The 23,226-nt window shown below is 43.4% G+C and overlaps 1 protein-coding gene across 6 annotated transcripts in view, besides 2 other annotated features; it reads right to left on the bottom strand.

The window, feature by feature from the left end:
• The window catches only part of CDH13 (cadherin 13), a 1,173,672-nt gene that overhangs the window by 255,986 nt on the left and 894,460 nt on the right, over nt 1-23,226 (bottom strand). The gene's annotated exons all lie outside the window — the stretch shown is intronic.
• Nucleotides 10,681-11,880: an enhancer, noted in NCBI's record as "P300/CBP strongly-dependent group 1 enhancer chr16:83566380-83567579 (GRCh37/hg19 assembly coordinates)". NCBI's record gives its function as "activates an origin of replication core promoter dependent on BRD2, BRD4, P300/CBP, MED14 and CDK7 cofactors, with strong dependence on P300/CBP, by STARR-seq in HCT116 cells {active_cell/tissue: HCT116}" and the evidence as "EXISTENCE:reporter gene assay evidence [ECO:0000049][PMID:35650434]".
• Nucleotides 11,177-11,471: an enhancer, noted in NCBI's record as "tiled region #9244; HepG2 Activating non-DNase unmatched - State 21:Repr". NCBI's record gives its function as "activates a minimal TATA promoter and a strong SV40 promoter by Sharpr-MPRA in HepG2 cells {active_cell/tissue: HepG2}" and the evidence as "EXISTENCE:reporter gene assay evidence [ECO:0000049][PMID:27701403]".

Raw genomic sequence — 23,226 nt, 5'->3', positions numbered from 1 at the left:
TGTATTTCAAATTTTGAATTCTAGTCTTTTTCTGGGTTAGCAACATGTGGTGCCATATCCTCTTGTGATGTTGGGATGAATCATCTGACATAATGCCTATTTTATAACGAAGTGTTAAACATCTCATGTAATTTATTGAATACTGTACTGGAAGTGTTCTCAGTGTGTTTAAGGTAGGGTAGGCTAAGCTATGGCGTTTAGCAGGTTATGTGTATTAAATACATTTTTGACTTAATGATAATTTTCAACTTACGATGGGTTTATCGGGTCATAAACCCATCGTAAGTTGAGGAGCATCTATAGGAAATGTTGGAGCAGGAATCTGAATGGAAATGTAAACCCAGACTACACAGGGATTAAAATCACAGACTCAATCGTCCTATAGACTGGGTTTTATTTAGGACTTTAACACTCCACCCTATATGACATTGGGTGAACTACTCAGTCTCAGTGCTGGAGACTCCTCTTCTGCAATGTGGGGACTGTAATAGTTCTCACCTCAGAGACACTGCGAGTGGGAGCATCATCTCACATTCAGTGAGAGGGTGTGCTCGAAGCACACTGCACAGAGCACCCCACCTAGTAACCACTGGGTGCAGCTCACTTTCTCATACTGCAGTAGTGATTGAAAGATCCCATTTCCCTCTGATCCAAACAGCTGGATATGGAACAACAAAGCTGTGTTCTCCCTGGCACTCCTGCTACCGGCTACATCAAGTGTCACTGATGGGGTGGCTCAGAAGTCTTGGTCTTGCCCATTGAGGCAACTTCATGTCCATTTTGTCTTTGCTTAGGTCAGGGTTTATCTACGCTGGCACTACTGACGTTTGGGGCCAGAGATTCTCTGTAGCGATGAGAACTGTGTTATGTACTGTAGGATGTTCAGCAGCACCCCTGGCCACTGTCCATTAGATGAGAGCAGCATACCCGCTGGTCCCAGCTGGGGAATGGGAATACACTCTGCTCTCACGACAGACAACCAAAACATGTCTCTAATGTCTGTCCCCTGAGGAGCACAATCACCCCCAGTTGAGAACCACTGACTTAGGTGAAAATTAACAGTGATATATGAAGCTAAAGACCAAGCTAGAGGTTGCTGGGATTCAAAGAAAGAGATCTCCTTTACTGGAGTAGATCACAGCACTTGCTAAATAGAGATGAATTCTCACTGGGGAATCAAGGCAAGGCAAGCAACAAATCATCATAGTCAGCGCCTCAAATGCCTATTACTGAATCCACAACATTTTGTAGATTGTTAATTTCCCATTAAAGGAGCCATGTCATTTAATCAGCATTCTGTCATTGGGCTCCATAAGGTGGAATAAAAGCATGAAGGCCCACTAAGGTTGTTTTTAAAATATGTAATGAGGAGTGACAGCTATGTTCACTCACCCAACATTTATTGAGCATTTGCTATACGAAATGTCACACATTAAGCCTCTGGCAACATCAGGAAAATATCGAAGTCTTTTATGCAGGCCAAATTGCTGTGTGGAAAGAATATTAATTAATTCAACCTATAGTTACTTAAAACATACGATGTGCCAAGCGCCAAGCTACACTCTGGGTAGGATGTACTGAAAGAAAGGAATGTTGTCTTTGCACTTTTGCAGCTCACAACAAGGCAGTCGTTCTCAAGCTGGGGTTGCTAGACCAGCAGCATCAGTATCACTTGCTGTTGTAAGTTGAATTATGTCCCCTCAAAAAGCTTATGTTGATTGTCTTAGCCCTTAATATCTCAGAATGTGACTTTATTTGAAAGTGAAGTCTTTGTAGAGGTAAACAAGATAAAATGAGGTCATGAGCACGGGCCCTAAGCCAATATGATTGGTGTTCTTATAAAAATGAGAAATTAGGACACAGAGACAGATGTTCAGACAAGGAAAACAATGTGAAGACACACACGGAGACAGCCGTGTAAAGACAGAGGACTGGAGTGGTGGATGCTTCTGCAAGCCAAAGAGCTCCAAGGGTTGCTGGCAAACATCAGAAGCTGGAAGACACAAGGAAGGATTCTCCCCTGGACTAGCTGCCAGAGCATGGCTTTGCCAACACCTTGATTTCAGAGTTCTGGCTTCCAGAACCATGGGAGAATACATTTCTGCTGTTGTAAGCCACTTAGTTTATGATGCTTTGTTACCACAGCCGTTGCAAACGAATGCACCTGGGAAGTTGGGAGAAATGCACGTTATTGGTCCCTATGCCAGACATACTGAATCAGGCAGTGTGGGGAGGTGATCCAGCAATCTGTGTTGTGATACGCACCTAACACCCAGGGGATTCTGCCGCAGGCTAGTGTTTGAGAACTACTGAGATGGAGCAGTAGTTTGCAATCCTGGCTGCACATTACATTCATCTGGGAAGCCTTAAAACAAAAACAAAACCAGATTCTGATAGGAATTCTGATAGGGTGACTCTAAGGTGCAACCAAGGCTCAGAACTGCTGGTCTAGAGTGATGTCTTTCAAATATTAGTATGTGCACCTCAGCAGGAATGGCCTCACCTGAGAGTCTTGTTAAAATGCAGATGCTAATTCAATAAGACTAGCATGAGGCCTGAGGCTCTGCATTTCTAGCAAGCTCTGGGGTGATGCCATGGTGGCCCATGGCCTACACTGTAAGGAGCAAGGGTCAGACAACGCTAACACATTAATACTAATAGCAATAATAGCTAGTATTTATTGACTTGCTTCCAAATGCTGGACACTTGCTAGGGAATGGGTACAATGATGGATAAGAAAGACACAGCCTCTGTCCCATGGGGCTTGCATTCTAAAGCTATGATGCAAGCTCTGTCTAGGGCTCTATACATTCTCATAGGAGAAGACCTTACTTTACCCATGAAGAAACCTGATGTGGTAGAGCAGAGTCTTATGTTAGGCAGAGCAACATTAACTGCTGCAACAAATAAACCACTGTTTCTAAAGAGCTTAAAAACCAACCATGAATTTCTTCCACTTTGCTCAATGTCTTGGGGGAGTCAGGGATTCAGGTCCTTCCATCTTGGGCTGTGCCTTCCTCTAGACCTTTGGAGTCCTTGGTTCAGCTTGTGGATGGGGAAAGAAGGTGAGGAGAGGAAGGAGTGGTTTGATGACTTCTACCAAATTCCATTGTCTGTTTCATGGCCCTGCCTAACTGCAAGGAACTTTGGAAAATTAAGTCTAACTATGGCCAAGAGTGAAAACAAACAGAGTTTAGTGAACACACGATCTCTGCCACATGCCTCAAAGGATGAGTAAGGTTGGTCAGGCAAAGAAGAGAGGAGCTGGTGGGAATGTGAGGGACTGAAGACATGCAATGAACATTTGGTAAAGGATAATGAAGTGATCATATTTCCATAGCTTCTCTGGAACAATCAGAAGAATTCATTTAGATTTTCAATGCCTCAATATTATGACATGTTAAAACCTTTCTAAGGAAGAGTGTTGGGCAGCTTCCTGATACTCAACAGGCAGCAGGGTTAGATGCATCCAGATTTCTTCCCAACATCTTTGCTCACCACTGGGCACTAGTGTAGGCCAGAGGCTGGAGGTGGCAGCTGGGCTGAGAGTCTGAGATTAGACTGCCATATGACCTGGGGATTGAGCGGGAGTGAACATGAATACTCCAACCAGGAGACGTCAAGATGATCCCAAGACAATTTCTACATCTTTTCACCCTGGGCTCTGTAGTCACATTTACCAAACAAACTGGCATCATGGATATAAAAATATTTTATTGACAATAGGCCAGGTGCAGTGGCTCACGCCTATAATCCCAGCACTTTGGGAGGCTGAGGCGGGCGGATCATTTGAGGTTGGGAGATCAAGACCATCCTGGCCAACATGGTGAAAACCCATCTCTACTAAAAATACAAAAATTAGCTGGGTGTGGTGGTGCATGCCTGTAATTCCAGCTGTGGCTGACTGCCGCAATTACTACTTGAGACCAGTCACTACAACAGTTACTACTGTTACTACTTGAGACCATCATGACAACAGTTACTACTTGAGATGTCATTAGGACAGTTACTACTGTTACTACTTGAGAGTGTCATTACGAGACTGAACAAAGGGACAAACGTAGAAATGGAAACTTAAGACAAAAGAAACTGTTTTAAAGGAAGGGTCTGGGGAAGAAGAAGAGAGCTCCCTGCTTCTAGTGAGCAAAGGCACCCCTGAGCTTCTAGAGCCCTTTGTATTTATTGGGTAGAAAGAGCAAGGAGGAGGTGGTAATGACTGGTCAGCTGCTTAACTGAACACAGGTTTATATTATTACTAACAGGCTTCAGATGTACCTAATCACAAGAAACACTGCGCATCGGGGGTGACTGTCTTCAGCACTCCTTCGGGGCAGCAGACGCAGTTTGTCGGTCTGCCAACATTCTGCATTTATGAAGACCAGTTTGGCGCTTACTCATATAGCCTCCAGTGGTATACTGAGTTGATCACGACCCTCAATCTTTCGGCCTCCAACACCAGCTACTCGGGAGGCTGAAGCAGGAGAGTGGCTTCAACCTGGGAGGCGGAGATTGAAGTTAGCCTAGATGGATCCACTGAACTCCAGCCTGGTGACAGAGTGAGACTCCATCTCAAAAAAAAAAAAAAAAAATTTATTGACAATAACATAAAGAATTTTAAAAATCAGTCTTGTCCAGGACAAACCACCTAAATTAGCAGAGATTCAGAAGCAAGAGAATTTTATCTAAAGTCAAAGAATGAGTTCCACCAATGGAATGTCAGGGAATTAATCACGCTCAAATTCTCCCTCAGGGAGATATCCCTAATAGATGATGCCCAGTTTCTGACTGCTGGAGCCCTTCTTCAAATATTAAGCTAAAATATTTCTTTCTAGAACCATTCCTCCTCTGGGGCCACACAGAGTGAATAAGTCTAACCTATTCGCATGACCTTGGACAAGGTACTTCATCTCCCTATGCTGCAATTGCTTCATCTATGAAATGGGAATAATTACAGTACCTATTTCGTGAAGTTCTTGTGAGGACTCCATGAGTGACACGTAGAAAATGCTCTGAAAATATCAGCTAGAATTATCATTATCGCTGTTACCAACACTTCAACAAATGGCCCTCATGCTCATCTCTGTGCCTTCTCCTGTCAGATTTTCCCTCTTTCAATGTTTCGGTTTTCCTTTTCTGCAAGTTTTCAGCCTTTCACTTTCATGTGGACTAGCATTTCTTGAATTGTGTTCTAAGGCAGGGGTCTCCAGCCCCCTGGCTACACACCAGTGCTGGTCCATGGCCTGTTAGGAACCGAGTCGCACAGCAGGAGGGGAGTGGCAAGTGAGTGAGCATGACCACCTGAGCTCCGCCTCCTGTCAGATCAGCCATGGCATTAGATTCTCATAGAAGCGTGAACCCTACTGTGAACTGCACGTGTGAGGGATCTAGGTTGCATGTTCCTTATGAGAATCTAACTAATGCCTGATGATCTGAGGTGCAATAGTTTCATCCTGAAACCATCCCCCACCCTTGCCCACAGAAAAATTGTCTTCCACAAAACCGGTCCCTGGTGCCAAGAAAGGTTGGGGACCACTGTTCTAAGGATACTAGATTCTCAAGATGTTAGTATGAGTTCCTTTAAAATCAAAGTTTCGAAAACACTTTGTATGCCAGATGACTCCCTCAAAGATTTACAATGAATCTTGGTTTAATAAAAGTTCTGAAAAGTCCTCAGAATAGACCACTGTTTATATGGGTTCAAGTGTGTGCCCTGGTAGTTGAAATGTAGATTGGCATGATATTTGCGAAGGATGACTAAGCATTATCTAACATATATTTTTTTACAAAATTTTATATTAATATACCTTTCAACCAGGAATTCCACTTCCAGGTATCCAAGCTGGATAAATACTTGTACATGGGTTATTCCAGTTTAATATGTCTTTAAAAACAGATTATGCATTCTAACTGGACAATTATTCCTTCCAACCTTGTCTCTTCTGCTAATCTAAGAGCTATGCCTTTCTTTCTGTGCCTACATCCACATCCCTGATAAAAATGATCGTCAGCGCTACTAAGTCGATGCCAATCTACCCTTTTCCTCTATGGCTCTATCATACTTCCTCAACTCACCCAACAAGGACATCCTATTATTTTAGGATCACATTCCTTCTTGCAAATGTTCTCTCAAGTTTCACTCTATATTTTGAGTATAAATTTAGAAACAACCACCTGGGTGAAATCTCATAAAAGTCATTTCAATTCAGACTGCATTTTTTCCGCCTCCACTAGATCAACAAATTGTTGGTCTGTCTTAACTGGTCATTTCACTCTCAAGATTCTGATTGATCATCTACGGAGATGAGTATAGTGTGACTGCTTCAGGGGACAGTGATGACTAATGCTTGGGAAACGGTGTAAACCAAAATAAATCTGAAAAGAAATAACCTAAACATACCCAGAAATAAATGTATTTGTGCACAATCCAAGCAACAAGAGGCAGAGCTTCCCAAGTCCTCCTCTAATCTTTATAAATGATTTTCTCCTGAGCCACTCGGCACATTTCTATTATGGCCTTCTGAATATGTGTAGACACAGCAGGTAATTTAAGATTGCTTCAAGTGTCTGGCAAAAACATAGCGCATATTCAACTTGTTTAGGAAACATCTTAATGACAAGCAAAGCAATTTATAGAGGACATATTTTTATAGCACGGTAACATCAACATTTATTATTTGGGCCGTAACTGGGAAAGGAAACAGACTTCCCCCATTTAGACAACAAAATTAAATTCCTAGGAAGGCAATAGAGAAATAGGCACTATGTTGAATATAGTTATGGTATAAAATAATATTCTTTTAGAAATATGGTAGGAAACATGGGAAGATTGGTATAATGGCCTGATCAGATATTCCAAAGATATAATTCCAGAGTACAATTCCTTCCAAGGGGCTAAAATGTGATATTCTCAAATTCAAGGTAATCTAATATAGATTTATTTCTTTCCATAGAATGCCACTATATTAGATAATAACTATATGTAGCTATTCTTTGCAACACTTTTTTTTTCCTGTAGAACAAATAATGTCTAAGAAGCTTCTGTCTTAGGGTACTGAAAGTTCTGAGAAGCCCTACAGTAATGAAACCTTCTTTAGATCTGCCAGAGTGTGAGCAAATGGTTCCTTTTCCTTTTCTTCCTATCTCCCTCATATTCCAATCCCCAAGAATTAAACAATCATATAACTACCAAATTCAAATTCAAATACATTATATATTCAAGTCTTGTTGATAAGGAAGAATCCAAGTAAATTATTCAAGCCAAATTAAGTGCATTTCACCTTTAGGTTGCAGCCTAAAGTTCTACACAGGGATTGCCATGGAAAGAAATATAGCAGGACAAATTTTTGTGCATAGATCAGCCAATTCATTGTCCCAGTTGGCTCAGGAAAGTCATGCAAAATCGCTCTTTGGTTTTATCTACTTGCTCAACAAATACTTATTCTGTACCTTCTTTGTAGATAGAGCATCCTGCTGGGCCTTTGAGACATATCAAATGAAATGCCTACTCCAAATCTGTGGTTTCTATGTATTTCAATTTGATTTCAATTAAGTCATCACTTCTGCAAGTCATTCTTGTTGCTCGAATCCCCACAGCTGCCATTCAAAAATGTTTGTACGTCCTTAAAATTCTGCCTTAGTTCTCAATGCACTCTTTTTCAGCAAATGAGCCAGGCTTCTGCTTTACTGAGAAGATGAAACACCTGTGGCATGAGTTACCTCCATCCGCAACATCCCCATTTCAATTTCGATTGCACCAGTCAAGAAATGCTGGTGTTATCCTGGCCACCTGACCCTCCATTACCTCTTCTGCTCAATTTATCACTAGTGCTGCTGTTGATTTTCTCTCCTAAACAGCCCTCGAAGTGGCACCTTCTCCCCATCTCTACCACCTAATTGCTGTCTCTTGTTTGAACCAATATGGTAGTCCCCTAGTGGACATTTCTCTTATCTCCTTCTCCATCTCCCCTTAACACTCAAACCAGAATCATCTTTCCAAAGATGCATCTCTGTATATATCTCCATATAACTTAATATACTTTAAGGATTTCCCATTTCCATTAGTATAAAGACAAAACCCATCAGCCTGTTCTACAAGGTTCCATGGGTGTTCAGCTCTTGGTGGCCTCTCCAGCCTTATCTACACCCACACTCACTGCATTCCCACTGGCCACAGGACCTTTGCTCACCCTTTTCTCTCTCCCTGTGATGTTCTTTCTACCCATTCTTGCTCAGTTAACACCACCTCATCCTCTTGATTCACCCCAAGGATCACGTCCACAAGGAGACCTTCCATGACTACCGTGGTCAGGTCAACTCAGCCCACCAAAGACTCTCTTGCAACATGGTCTTCCCCCTCTTACCTTGTACTATCTTTCTTACTATGCTTATTTGACTAATATTGGTCCCCCCAACTACATTGTAAGCTCTATGAAGACAATGACTGTTGGTTTTTACTCATTTTTCCCCCATAGCCGCTATCATAGTTTTGGCTCACAGTATATACTCAGTGGATATTACGGAAAGGATTTCTCAATGCCTCATAATGCCAAATGCCATATGCCACCCATTTCCTGGGTGTTCATGCAAATGTTGTCCTGGGTGAATTTTTCAATGACTACTCTAGAGAGAGGAGGGCCAAAGCCAGGGTGGTTGTTTCTGTGGGTGTCCATGGGTTTCTTTCTTTTCTTTTCTTTTCTTTTCTTCCTTCCTTCCTTCCTTTCCTTCCTTCTTTCCTTCTTTCCTTTTTTTCCTTTTCTTTTCTTTGTTTCTCTTTCTCTTCCTCTCTCCTTCCTTCCTTCCCTCCCTCCCTCCCTTCCTTCCTTTCCTTCGTTCCTTCTTTTTCTCTTGCTTGCTGCTCCAAATACTTCCTCTGTGTCAAGCACTGTCCTAAGCTCTTTCCTTCCATTCACTCACTTAATATTCATGACACTCCAAAAAAAATGAACATTATCATATCTTGGGGAAACTGAGGCCTAAATGTTAATTAACCTGTCCAGGACTGCACAGTTGGCTCAGCATTTCATTCCCAGCACCATGCATAACACCTTCCCCATGTTGAGATCTCAATACGCACTTGTGGAATCAACGAATGAAGTAGCAAAGCAGAGCTGGTCAGCTGTAAGTCACAGATGCCTGTGACTGTCCTCTTCCTTTGGTCCTCACGGTCACACACTAACCTTTGCCTTGGCCACCTCTCACCAGAACTATTGCAACAGCTTCCTAACTTCTTCTGAATCCACAATTATTTCCCTCTACTTTGCCCATCTACAATGTGGCCACAGCATCTACTAAAATGCCAATCAACTTATCACTCCTTTTTTTGAGATTCTTTAGTGGTATCTCTTTGTCCTTTGGATGCTGACCCAAGTCCTTAATTTGGCCAATAAAAGCCTGTGTCTCTTTCCAGCCGTGCATCTCTTTTCTTCTTGCACATACCAGGCTGCCTCTTGCCCCAGGGCCTCTGCACATGCTGTGCCCTCTGCCTGGAGCACCCCTTATGCTCTGGTCTCCCAGTTAACTCTTAATGAACCTTCAGGCCACAGTGTATATGGCAGACTGAAAAAGGACCCCAACAATATCCTGATCCTAATAATTCCCAGGACCTGTGAGTGTTACCTTATATGGCAAAAGAAACTCTGCAGATATGATTAAACTAATGACTTCAACCATATCCACATTCCAGCTGAGCTGTTGCTTTCTTCAGATTGTCCTATAAAATTGTCCTAGACATTGACATTTGTGCTCTAATGAATTTGTGTAAAGAAGAAATCCTTGATCATTATCAATAAAATCATGGCTTTGATGACCCAATTTTGGGTGTGTATACGCACTGCTAATTCACATTTAAATAAGAATAACTGTTTGCAAATGCATGCTCATAGCAGCATTGCTCATAATAGTGAGGAAGTAGAAGCAGCTCAAATGTCCATCAGTGAAAGGATAGGCAAACAAAATGTGGCCTATCCATACAGTGGAATACTATTCAGCTATGAAAAGAAGTGCTGACCTCTGCTATCATATGGATCAGTAAACACTATGACGTACCTTACAACATTGTGCTAAGTGACAGGGGCCAATCGCAAAAGGCCACAAAAGACAGGCATCACCTGAGTCAAGCCATGTACATTCATTTCACATAGGTGCTAGCCAGGAAGAGGAGGTAGTGGTTGTAACATTTGATGGCTTATTTGATGTCAGATTCAACAGCAAGAACTTTACCTGAAGAAGGTTATTTAATGCTTGTAACGGCCCCATGAAAATGCACTGCCAGCATTTTCCCTTTGTAGAACAGGAAAAGGAAAAATGAAGAGGTCAAAGAACCTAGCCAAGATCACAAAGCTGAAAAATGAAGGGACTGGTATTTGAATCCAGGCTGTGAGGATCCACAGCTCTGCCTCTGAACCACCATGAACAGACCACCTTCCTAATGCGCTCCTCTTTGCATATTTCATTTGTATGGAGCATCCAGAATAGGTAAATCCTTAAAGACAGAAAGTAGATGATTACAAAGGGCATGGGGGATGGAGGATGGGGAGCAACTACTTAACAGGTATGCGGTTTTCATTTGGGGGCGATGAGAATATAGATAGAGGTGGTGCCTTATACAACACTGTCCATCCACTAAATGGCACTGAATTGTTCACTTTAAAATGGTTAATTTTTATGTCATGTGAATTTTGCCTTGACAAACAAGTTTAAAAATAAGTCCAACTAGATTTTTAAAATAGATTAACGTGCCAGGCACTGTGGCTCATGCCTGTAATCCCAGCAGCTCGGGAGGCTGAGGTGGGCGGATCACTTGGGGTCAGGAGTTTGAGACTAGCCTGGGCAACATGGCGAAATCCCATCTCTACTAAAAATGCAAAAATTAGCTGGGCGTGGTGGTGCACACCTGTAATCCCAGCTACTCAGGAGGGTGAGGCAAGAGAATCACCTGAACCCAGGAGGTGGAGGTTGCAGTGAGCTGAGATCGTGCCACTGCACTCCAGCCTGGGTGACAGAGTGAGACTCCATCTCAAAAAAAAAAAAAAAAAAAAGATAATGTAAATTATACTTAAATCCTCACAACTTCCACAACTAAGGAAGCCGTGGGCCGTGCCATTCCACCACCTCCTTGTGCTGGGTCCTTACTGCAATGCCCATGAGCTATTATGAGAGCTGAGAAACCTGCCAACTCTACCTACACAGATCCGACTTCCTGTCTGTCGGCTTCAGGCAGGGACCTGCTGCCCACAGAGGAGGAGGTGAAGAGTGTGGGAGGCACCTCCCATCTTGTCTTTGGGGAATGCCCTGTAAAAATGACTCACCTCTGGGCATCTCAGTATTTATCTTCCGCTCAGTGGTGAGGTTGCGAGTCACGCTGAGTTGAGATTTTCCGAGCACATTTAAGTGCAATACACACCAATGAAAAGTGAGCCGTCGCATTGAGGGGAAGTTTACCTATGTTTACCCTTCTCCAGCGTGACACCAGCTGCTGGCATCTGCTGGTCCTCTGGCATAAGAGTGAGTGGAGACAGAGTTAGCATCTCGCTCTCCTCTCCCTGAATAAGAGCTGATGTTGAGGTAGACTGTAATAGGAGCAGGCAGAACAGAACAATAATTGGAATCCTTTTAGAGATGCCTGATGCTCTGCAGACTGACAATTGTAGTTAGCTTCTCCTACAGAGAGCTCTGTCACCACGAGTTTGTGTTAGAAACAGCTGGTGGCTGAAGGACTGGGAACTAACAAGCCACGCTGCTCAGATGCAGGGGAGGCCGCTGGCTCTCTCCCGTGGCACTGCTGAATTCCGTCTGCCGGGATGTTGGCACAACGCATGGCTCATAACACACACCGGTAGGGTTCACATGGCTTAATGGGACAACTGCTCTAGTGCAAAGGGACAGAGGGAGAGGATCGCTCAAGTCCGGACCAGCGTGACTACTCAGGCAGATGGCCAATGATTGCTTGCAAAGAACTTACAAGGCACCAGGCATGGTGCAAGCCACTGCAGAGATTGCAGAGGAAGAAACTGACATGGCGAATGTGGAGCTGATAGGCTACTTGAGGAGACAAGCAGCCATTTATTCATTCAGCAAATATTTATGGAGAAGCTACCATGCACTAGCGCTGAGCTAGGCACTCTGGATGCAGCAGCAAAGAGCCCGCATGTGGCTTCTAGGAAGCTCACTGTCTCTCTGGGAAGACAAATATTCATTTATCCAGTAACATTTTATTAAGGGACTCCCATGTTCCAAGCACTGGTTCCAGGTGCTGGGCATTAAACTAATAGTCCCAAGTGCAATGAATGCTTTGAAAATGAATTTCAAGGTGCAATGGGAACTCTTCTAATCTTGGGGTGAGGGTGGTGACAGAAGTCACCTTTGAGGAGTGACTTCTACACTGTATGAGCTTGTACTAGTCTGTTTTCACACTGTTGATAAACACATACCTGAGACTGGGCAATATGCAAAAGAAAGAGGTTTAATGGACTCACAGTCCCTTGTGGTTGAGGAGGCTTCACAATCATGGCAGCAGGTGAAAGGCACATCTCACATGGCAGCAGACAAGAGAAGAGCTCTTGTGCAAGGAAACTCCCCTTTATAAAACCATCAGATCTCATGAGACTTCCTCACTATCACAAGCATAGCACAGGAAAGACCTGCCCCCATGATTCAATTACCTCCCACCGGGTGCCTCCCATAACACATGGGAATTGTGGGAGCTAAAATTAAAGATGAGATTTGAGTGGGGACACAGCTAAACCATATCAGAGCTTCTTGTGACTGCCCTAACAAATTACCACAAACTGTTAGGTTGAAATAACACAAAGTTACTCTCTTACAGTTTTGGAGGCCAGGAGTCCAAAATCCATTTCACTGTGCTAAAATTAAGGTGGCCGCAGGGCCACACTGCTTCCAAAGGCTCCGGGAGAGAATGTATATTTTGCCTTTTTTGCTTCTAGAGACTGAATTCATTTCTGGGTTAGTGGCCACATCACATTGCCTCCTCCCTCTTCTTCAGTCAATACCACTCGCCTCCCTCTTGTAGGGACATTTGTAATTACATTTAGGGACAACTTAGATAATTGAGCATATCTGGCTGAGAGGCCTCACAATCATGGTGGAAAGTGAAAGGCATGTCTCACATGGCGGCAGAGAAGAGAAGAGGGCTTGTGCAGGGAAACTCCGCTTTATAAGCCCCTCACCCCTCATCTCAAGATCCTTGACTTAATCACACCAGCAAAGTCTCTGTTGCTGTGTAAGGTAACATAGTCATAGGTACCAGGATCAGGACTTGGGTGTCTGGGGGAGCCATCTTTTAGTCTATCACACACACCTTCCTATTTCTATTATACTGTGCTGCCTTCAGGCCATGCCAGGCTCTACCAGGAGAAACTGAGGCTGAAAGGCTGAATGGATTTATAGGATGGCAGAGACCAGAGGCCTAGTTACATGTAAACAGACAAAGTCAAGATTACAGATATCACCTGAGTCAAGCCATGTACGTTGATTTAACATAGGTGTTACCCAGAAGAGGATGTGCTACCATGGTGGTGGCAGTTGTAACATTTGATTGCTTATTAGATGTCAGAAACAACACCAAGAACTTTACCGGAAGAAAGTTATTTAATGCTCGTAACTATCCCATGAAAACACACTGCCAGCATTCCCCCTTTAGAGGACAGGAAATGGAGGAGTGGAGACATCAAAGGACCCAGCGAAAGTCACAAAGCTAAAACATGAAGGAACCGATATTTGAATCCAGTCTGTGTGAATGCACAGCTCTGCCTCTGACCCACCATGCACAGACCGCCTGCCTGATGGGTTCCTCTCTGCCAAGGGGCTAGTTACTGGTAAATGTCATTTCAACATAGAGGTGGCAATCTGAGATTGCCATAGGCTAGTCCTTCTTTGTCAGGACCAGTTGAGTGACTTGGGAAAGTCACTGTCCCTCTGTGAACCTCAGTCTTCCATTACAAAATAAGGAAGTTAATGAGATGAATTCTGCAGCCTTGTGTGTGTGGTTAAGATGATGGGCAGATTGAAAACAGCTGCTGTGATGGTTGGTGCGTGGTTGATGTGAAAGCCTGGGTGCTGGGTTATAGAAGGAGTAGACTCACAGAGACCATTAATCCTAACAATTGCTCATCAACAACTTAACACAGGCCAAATCTGTCCTCAAGGACAGAGCCACAGTGCTCTCAGGAAACAGTGCTCAATTTTGGCTCTCTGTTCTGGGGTCCTGATTCCGTGACTACGAAGCAACTTTAGACAGCCAGCTGGAAATGCCATCTGAATGTGTAAGAAGGTGTCTAATATGAGAATCATAAAACTCAGCACAAGGTCAGCTCAGTGGTGACTCCACAAAATTCAAGCTATGGAGACCTACAGAGACTGACTTTACAGTGCACTCAATTTTCTGATATTTCTCAACTGAGAGCTTCACTGACTTAAGCTTTAATTGAAAGCATTTAACCTATTACAAATTATCATGAATAGCACCAAGCTGAACACCCCCAAAATGCTCATTTCAAATATATGAACCTCTTCAAGGGCCAGCAGGAACAGGTACGCAGAGCCATGGGTTTAGAAGGAAGACAGACAATAATCTTCAGAGAACATGCTTCATGTCCAGCTCAGTGTCTGCATCAGGCACCCTCTGCTTGCAACTCCAGAGAAGTCACTAGATTCTTACCCGACCCCATTTCACAAGTTCTTTTGCACTCCTACTTAACTAGGACTGTAGTTTCTAATTTTCCTTTATAAGTGATTTTAATAACGTTATTTTATTACAAATACATATGAAAATAACAGAAATGTAAGAAAAACATTAGCGCTCCATAATCACCTGACCAAATGTTCAATATGTTGACATTTATTTTCATCTTTTTTAAAATCAATATCAATATTGTATTTTTCTTTTATGTGGTCGTTTAATAGATAAAATTCTGTTATGCATAATTTTCCTTTGTGCTTGTATTAAAATCTCTATTTCCATTTATATTACTCAGAAAACAGTAGTACAGATCATCCATGTCTTTTACTATCCTTACAGAATCCTATAAAAACACACACAGGGAATTTTTATGATTTTTTTCACAAAAAAATGGCATGCACATTTCTTTATGTAAGCTGTGTACATTGCTCTGGGCTAGTAAATCATAGATATTATCAGTTATTTTTTAAAGCCATATAGTATTTCCTAGAATGGATGTAGTACAGTGTAGTGTGAATGGAGATCTAACCTTTTATTTTTTGTACCTACAAAAAACAATGCTTCAACAAACATCCTTATACATATAAACTCAAATATTAAGGTTTTATTATTTTTTAGGCTAGTTTTCAGAAGTAAAATTTCTGGGCAAAAGACAAAGCCTGTTAATAAGTTTAATATATGTCATCCAATTAGCTTGTACACTGCAAAGCTAGGATTCCAATCCACGTACACTGGACTTCAGAGTCTGACCTCCAACCATAAATACTATGTACTGCTTGTACTTCAGAGATGCCTAACAATGGGGCTTAACTTCCTGAAGAAGCAAGCTCGCCTAGATCTACAATGAAAAAGAAAAAAAAAAAAAAAAGACAGAGGTATTCATGGGGAGGGGGTTTGGGTGGAATGACCTCCATCTTCTCTTCTAATCTGAGATTTTCATACTCCCTAAACTGAATCCACTATATTTCAGTCAGGTGGACCAAGCAATTTATATATAACTACCCCATTAGTAACTGAGCAGGACCACCCTGGTGACATTTCTCAAGGTGACTCCTGCTAATTAAACAGTTATATAGCCATGATCCCTTCACCATAATGAACAAAGAAAAAAGGCATGGGGAGACTGGGATTGAACAGTCTCTCTCTTGACTACAACCAATGCTAAACGAGACATGGATTTAGAAATTAGAATAAAAACAACACTGTGTTCAGCATGATAACTCTTTTTCAGTGCTTAGTGTTTTAATGCTGTTCGTTACATCTCAGCACTGTCAGAGAATTTAGAGATAGATGGAGATAGTTGGGAAATTTAGAGATAGATGGAAACAGTTGGAGAATTTAGAGACAGATGATCTAATATTTATAGTAGAAATCCCTTTTGAAATAAGATTTATGTAATATATACATGAAGATAAGTGCCCTCCCAAGGGCTCTTAGACGACCCCACTAGGGACTACTATTATCTCAACCCCTGAGAATGAGCCTCATGGGAGTTGATGTTTCACTATACACCCCACACAAGGGTAACCAGCCCATCCAGACCGCCCAACTGCAACAGAGGAAGAGATTTCCCCAAGGAGAAGACTTAATGGAAAAATAATTTCACGTTTGCATTTTTAATTTTGCAGTTTAAAATCTCTCTAAATACAGTTTCCCATTTAAAATGTGATCAACCAAAATTTCCTCATCCTTATTATGGCAAATAGCCAGTTATAGTGTTCCTTTTGGAATAGCTGCAGGGATATTACTTAGATTTAAGGAAGAAGGCATGCGTGCAAGTGTGATTAAAGCTGAATATGTTTAGTTATCACTGCTATTAAGAGGATTATTAAAGAGGCTGTGTGAGTTTGGGATATACAGATGGGGCTAAGTAGGTATGCCTGTGTGTAGGGGGCCCACTTCTGGCTCATTATCAGCTCTGTGGGAACTTGGATTGTCTAGCCCTGGCCTTCCCGATAAACTCCCTGCGTGCCCTTAGAAAGTCACCGAACTCATTCGAGGAAGATCTCTAATATTTCCTCTGGCTCTAATATTGTTTGAAGTTTTGTTGGTACTTAAGTAATAAATTAACATTAAAGTGGTACTGAGAAAATATAGACTTCTTTCTACTTTACAGTGTGATATGGATACCAGTGATCTCAAAAGTCTTTAATTTGGTGAGTGCCATTATCACCCAAATGACAACAACAACCGTAATAGGTGCTGGCATTTATAGGGTTGCTTATTTGATGCCAAGTCCTAGACTGGGTGTTGTCTCAGCATTTGCTTACTGGGTCCTTTCGTAGCACCTGGGTCAGGTGTATATATCATCACTAACTTACAAATGAAAAAGCAGACTCAGGTTGCCCTGGGCCATCTCTATAATGCCATCAAACGGATGTAGTTGCCCTGGGCCGTTTCTATAATGCTGTGGGTAGATGTAGTTTTTCTCTCCCTGTGCTGCGGTTAACGCAGAAGACAACTCTTTTTGTATCTGAATTCCCATTCTTAATTTTTAATTTTTTTTTTTTTGAGATGGGGTCTCGCTTTGTCGCCCAGGCTGGAGTGCAGTGGCCAGATCTCGGCTCACTGCAAGCTCTGCCTCCTGGGTTCACGCCATTCTCCTGCCTCAGCCTCCCAAGTAGCTGGGACTACAGGCACCTGCCACCATGCCCAGCTAATTTTTTGTATTTTTAGTAGAGATGGGGTTTCACCGTGTTGGCTAGGATGGTCTCCATCTCCCGACCTCGTGATCTGCCTGCCTCAGCCTCCCAAAGCACTGAGATTACAGGTGTGAGCCAGCACGCCCAGCCTTAAATTATTCTTTAATTAAAACAATTTTTTTTTTTTGAGACAGAGTCTTGCTCTGTTGCCCAGGCTGCAGGGCAGTGGCATAATCTCGGCTTACAGCAGCCTCCGCCTCATGGGTTCAAGTGATCTCCTGCCTCAGCCTCCTAAATAGCTGGGATTACAGGTGCGCACCACCACGCCTGCCTAATTTTTGTAGTTTTAGTATAGACGGGGTTTCACCATGTTGGCCAGGCTGGTCTCAAACTCCCAACCTCACATGATCTGCCCGCCTTGGCCTCCCAAAGTGCTGGGATTACGGGCACGAGCCACCATCCCTGGCCTGAATTCCCATTCTGTCTGCCTGCCTGCTTCAAGACAATTACTGGGATTGCCAGCAGTTTCACTGTTCCCAAACTGGGACAAAGGGCTAAGGTAAAGAAGGTAAAGCAGAAGATTGTACAGGCTGGGCTGGGGAAGTGAAAGAGTCAGTGTTTAAACAGTGGCAGCAAATTTCATCATTTAAGCCAGGAGCCGCCAGCCCCCGGGCCACGGACCAGAACTAGTCTGTACGCTGTTAGGAATTGGGCCACACAGCAGGAGGTGAGCAGTGGGCTAGCAAGCGAGCATTACCATCTGAGCTCGGTATCCTGTCAGATCAGCAATGGCAGTACATCCTGATAGGAGTGCAAAACCTATTGTGAACTGTGCATGCAAGGGATCTAGCTTGCATGCTCCTTATGAGAATCTAAAGAACTAATGCCTGATGGTCTTAGGTGGAACAGTTTCATCCGGAAACCATCCTCCTCCAATCCCACTGGAAAAATTGTCTTCCATGAAACTGGTTTCTGGTGCCAAAAAGGTTGCGGACTATTGATTGAGGCTACAACACAAAGCTATTTTTGCCCCAGCTTGAGAGCTGGCACTTTTCAGAATAAAGAGGAAAAAAACAAAACAAAACAATAACCACCACCGCCCCCACAAAACAAAACTTCTGACTCTGATGACTGGCTGACCTTTGAAGCTGGTTCGAAGGTGGTGGCTGCAGCATTTCCTGGTGTTTTTGGTTCTGCCTTGAATGTTACATCCCTTTCATATTGCTACTGTAACAAATTACGACAGCACGGTGTCTTAACACATCTGTAAATTTTATAGTTCTGCAGATCAGAAGTCCAACACAGGATGCTGGGCTAACATCTAGCTACTGGAAGGGCTGCACTCCTTTCCAGAGGCTCCAGGGGAAACTCCATTTCTTCACTTTTTCCAGCTTCTTGGGACTGCCCATGTTCCTTGGTTTGTGGCCCCTCCTCTGTCTTCAAAGCCAGCAGTGCTGGACAAAGTTGTTTTTATGCTGCAATCTGTCCCGTTCTCTTCTTCAGTCTTCACATTTTCTCTGAGCCAGAAAAAATTCTTTCATTTTAAGGACTCATTGGATTAGAGTGGATCCACCAAGATAACTCAGAATCATCTCCCCGACTCAAGGACTCCTTAATCACATCTGCAATGTCCCTCAGGTAGGCAACATAGTCCCAGCTTCTGGGGCACTAAAGCATGGACACCTTTGGGAGGGCCATTATCTTGCCTACTATGGATGTGAAGTCAGAATGGAGGTTCACACGACAAGGTCTGGGGAAGGAACTGAGCTTAAATCCACAAGGGCTTGGCAACAAGCAGGTGCTGTTTAGGATGCCCTCTCCCACCAATACTGCAACCAAGTCAGTATAACATAGCATTTACAAATTAGGCTTAGGAGTCCAAGAAACCTGTTTACAAATTCCAGCTTCACCACTTTTTAACCATGTGACCACAGGCAAGTTATAGAACTTCTCTTTGTACTAAAGCTTATTTTACGTTGTTGTCCAGAAGGTTAAATAAGTCAGTGTGCATGACACACAGGATCTAGTGCAGACAAAGTGCTCAGTAAATGCCAGTTATCAGGAAACTGATGGAAGCTGTCTTAGACTTCAGGTGCCTGGTCAATCCGAGTACTACATTCTACTGGCCCGTGGTTGGTTCAAAGGATGGACATGAGGCACAGATAGAGCCAACTGGAGTCTGTCCCTGGGGTTGCTATAAGGACACCGGGAGAGAGAGGTTTTCATTACAAGTAAATTGCCGTTTGATTCCACTGTGTGCATCAGACCAATAACTTCTCCTTACAGAGAAAAAGAATCAGCGTCCCCGAAAATTAAGTTTTTTGTCCAAGTTGACACAGCAAGAATCTATGATGAGAAAATCATTGGTCTACTGACCTTCCCATCTCATGCGCATTCAGGATTTACAGCCCACGGAACCCACTCATATGATTTCTTCTCTGATCCCTGTGGCTTTTCTGTGTTAGATGGTGGCCCCATTTAAAGATGGATAAACTTGACACTCTCAGTGCTACAGGTTTGCCAAGACCTCTCAGCTAGTAAGAGGGGGTGTTAAGACATGCAATTTGGCCGGGCGAGGTGGCTCACACCTGTAATCCCAGCACTTTGGAAGGCCGAGGCGGGCGGATCACCAGGTCAGGAGATCGAGACCATCCTGGCTAACATGGTGAAACCCCATCTCTACTAAAAGTACAAAAAATTAGCTGGGTGTGGTGGCAGGTGCCTGTAGTCCCAGCTACTTGGGAGGCTGAGGCAGGAGAATGGCGTGAACCCAGGAGGCGGAGCTTGCAGTAAGCCGAGAGCGCGCCACTGCAGTCCAGCCTGGGCAACAGTGTAAGACTTCATCTCAAAAAAAAAAAAAAAAAAAAAAAAAGAAAAAAGAAAAAGACATGAAATTCATGACTCTCAGTCCACCTGCTAGACAGGCTGGAAGACCTGTGTGAACTTCCTGCTCCTACAATTGTAAAGAACCCATAATAATGTGGTTATACATTTTTAAATCTATGTCTGCATAAACACACTAAATAAGTGTCTACTCCTTCACTGGGCCTGGTATGAATATATTACTCATGTACACTGCATGCTGATTTATTCTTCTAATAATGCATTATTTATTCTCTTAACTGCAAATTCTCTTGGTTGTCGTGCAAACCCACAAGCTTATCTGTGGAAACAAATCTAGTGCATGGTAAGGTCGTGACAGATATGAGGACATTTCAGCTCTTCGGGGTTCTGTTTCACTAATTTACACAACTGAAATAAAGCTCATCTCCTGTGGGTGGACTGCAGGGTAAGTGATTAAGAGCTGTGATCTAAGAATCTTGGTTGAGAGGTGCAAATACTCCTGGGGACTTTGGTTGCCCAGGACGCTCTCCATCTGGGCTGGTGCAGAGAAGGTGAATCTTCATTCTAGAGTCCTGACACAGGTTCTGGATGCTTCATCTTTCCCAGAACAATGGATACTTCTAGGAGCTGCATAACGAGGGACTGAAGTGTTTGAAATGGGGACTGTTGTCGTTCTTGCCTCCTTTTCCCAATGTTCAATGTTGTCCTTGCAACCATGCCACAGAATGGGGAAGATATATACTTCTGGGATGTGCAACCGGACATGCCCACTGAGGTGGAATCTGAGCGCTAGGAAGAGCCCAAGCCAGCTGCCAGGGAACTGACATCAAGGGTCTACCATGAAGCAAGGGAGTGACCCTGGAGTAGATCCAACTCAGGAATGGGAAATGGAGGAGCACTTGGTGAGTACACACACGTGGCAGAGAGTCCTGGTGTGGGGGGCACTGGTTGGCAGGGTACAGGCTGCTCCAGTGGATTCCAGGGTGGGAGGTGAGTTTCTCTTCAAGGATAATGAAAAGGGTAGGGTACATATGACAAGACAGAGCCTTGGGCTTAAAAAATCTAAAAAAGCTATCAGGATTGAAGAGCATGGGCTAGGTCATCATGAATAGGAAATCATGTTCAACCAAGACAGTCTGCCAGACAACCTTGCTTTCTTCCATCCATGCACTCATTTATTTATTCAAAAATGCTAGCTGAGCACCTATTATGGACATGACAGGCACAATGCTAAGTGCTACAGCTACAGGGTGGACGCCATAGACATGGATCCTGCACTCATTATTTGTGGGTAGAGAGGATGACATCAAACTTTTATTACTAATTTAGATACAACCTGGACAGGTGCATGAGGAAGAAGCACCTATAAAAGGGGTACCAGAGGAGGGTGGAATAGGGAGGCCGGGGGTCCAGAAATGCTTCTTTGGAGAAGTGACATTTCAGCAGAACTGAAGGGTGAGTATAATTCAGCCAGGTGAGGACATAAAGGAAGAAAGTTCTAGGCAGAGGGAACAGCACCTGCTAAGGTCATGAGTCTGAAAGGGACTTGGTGTGGCTAGCTGGAGTCACACTGGGAAGAGCCACTAGGTGGTGAGTCATAAAGTGTCTGGAAAAATTCTTTAAGTCCTTGGGGTGGAGGGGAATTGAACCTATAGGTGGAGGTCAGAGCCTCTGTAATAAGCCCCAGGAGAATGCACAGCCCCAAGGCTGAATTCAGGCCAGTCTGATGCCACCTGTCACCACCTGGAGATGGCCAGACCCCGACAGGGCCCAGGGATGTGAACTCTGCCGCCCACCTGCTGATGAGAAATGACGCTGCAGGTGTTTAAGAACCCACTGCGCTCGGCAACTTTGCTGTGCTTTATTACTTTCATTTATAGAACGGTATAAAACTAGACATTTATTGGCCACAGACCATTTTTGTTTTCCTGTAACTCAAAAATGGTTACATTTTTAAAAATGAAGTATTACCAGCTTCAAGTCTGTAATAGAGACCACGTCTTGTTGGCACCCACTGAATTATTAAGATTAGAAACTCCACGGTTGCATATTGCGCTGTGGAACTTTCTTCCCCAATATGCCTTACCTCATATACTCATGTTAATTTTGACAGTCCATAACACAAATTGACATAAGATGGACGTATACACTCCATCAAGTGAATAATACATGACTTTAAAACAATGGCAGGCTACATTTTGACGTGATCCATTATAATGGACCCGAAGCAGCTGTTATGGCCTTTCCATAAAGATTCAATAAACATGTGGAGGCTGCAGCAGAGCAGGCATTAAACATGACATTAAAGCGCAAGCCAGAGCTGGCTCCTCTAAACAGACAGCACCCGGTGGGCAGAGAGCTGGACCTGCACTCTGCGCAGCAGGGGAGAACTGGATTTGCAGACCTTACCTAGGAAGGAAGGTGGCCTGGCACCCGAATGCAGGCATTTAACAGCTGATGGATTCATCTCTCCATCCCTCACATGAGGGGCTCTAGCTTCAGAAAATCGCTTGAAAAATAACAACGTGTTTCAAGGGCAGACTCTACACTCTTTCATTTAAACTTCAACGACCTCATATAGTAGGATGATTTGCCCTGTATTATAGGTGAAGTTATTGAAAATGCAAGAGGTTAGATTTCTTTTTCAAGGTCACTCAGGTCAAGGTCAGTGGCAGAACCAGCACTAGCCAGGCCCCTCTAACTCTGAAGCCAGGGCTGGTTCCATGCACCCAGGTTGCATCCCATGGGAAAACCCATAGGTGGAAGAATTACCCACTCATGTTCTTTTCCGGGGGTGGCTGGTGTCTACATATACAATTTAGATTGATTTCTCTAATATCCATCTGCATTTGCCAATGATCACATCAATATTTCTAAGACTTTTACATCCCTTTAAAACTCACAAGGGATTTAACAATATTCTCATCCAATTCTCATAGCATACCCTGGGATAAGCTGTCTTTAAACTGCATTTTATTGCTGTTGTTGACACCGTATTGGTGTTTACACTGTGTTGGTGGTGACACACTATTAAGGAACCTGCTA

Source organism: Homo sapiens, chromosome 16 (genome assembly GCF_000001405.40).
Source record: "Homo sapiens chromosome 16, GRCh38.p14 Primary Assembly".
Taxonomy (NCBI): Eukaryota; Metazoa; Chordata; class Mammalia; order Primates; family Hominidae; genus Homo; species Homo sapiens.
Note: the sequence above shows the minus strand (reverse complement) of the source record. Positions and strands in the feature narration are given on the sequence as shown.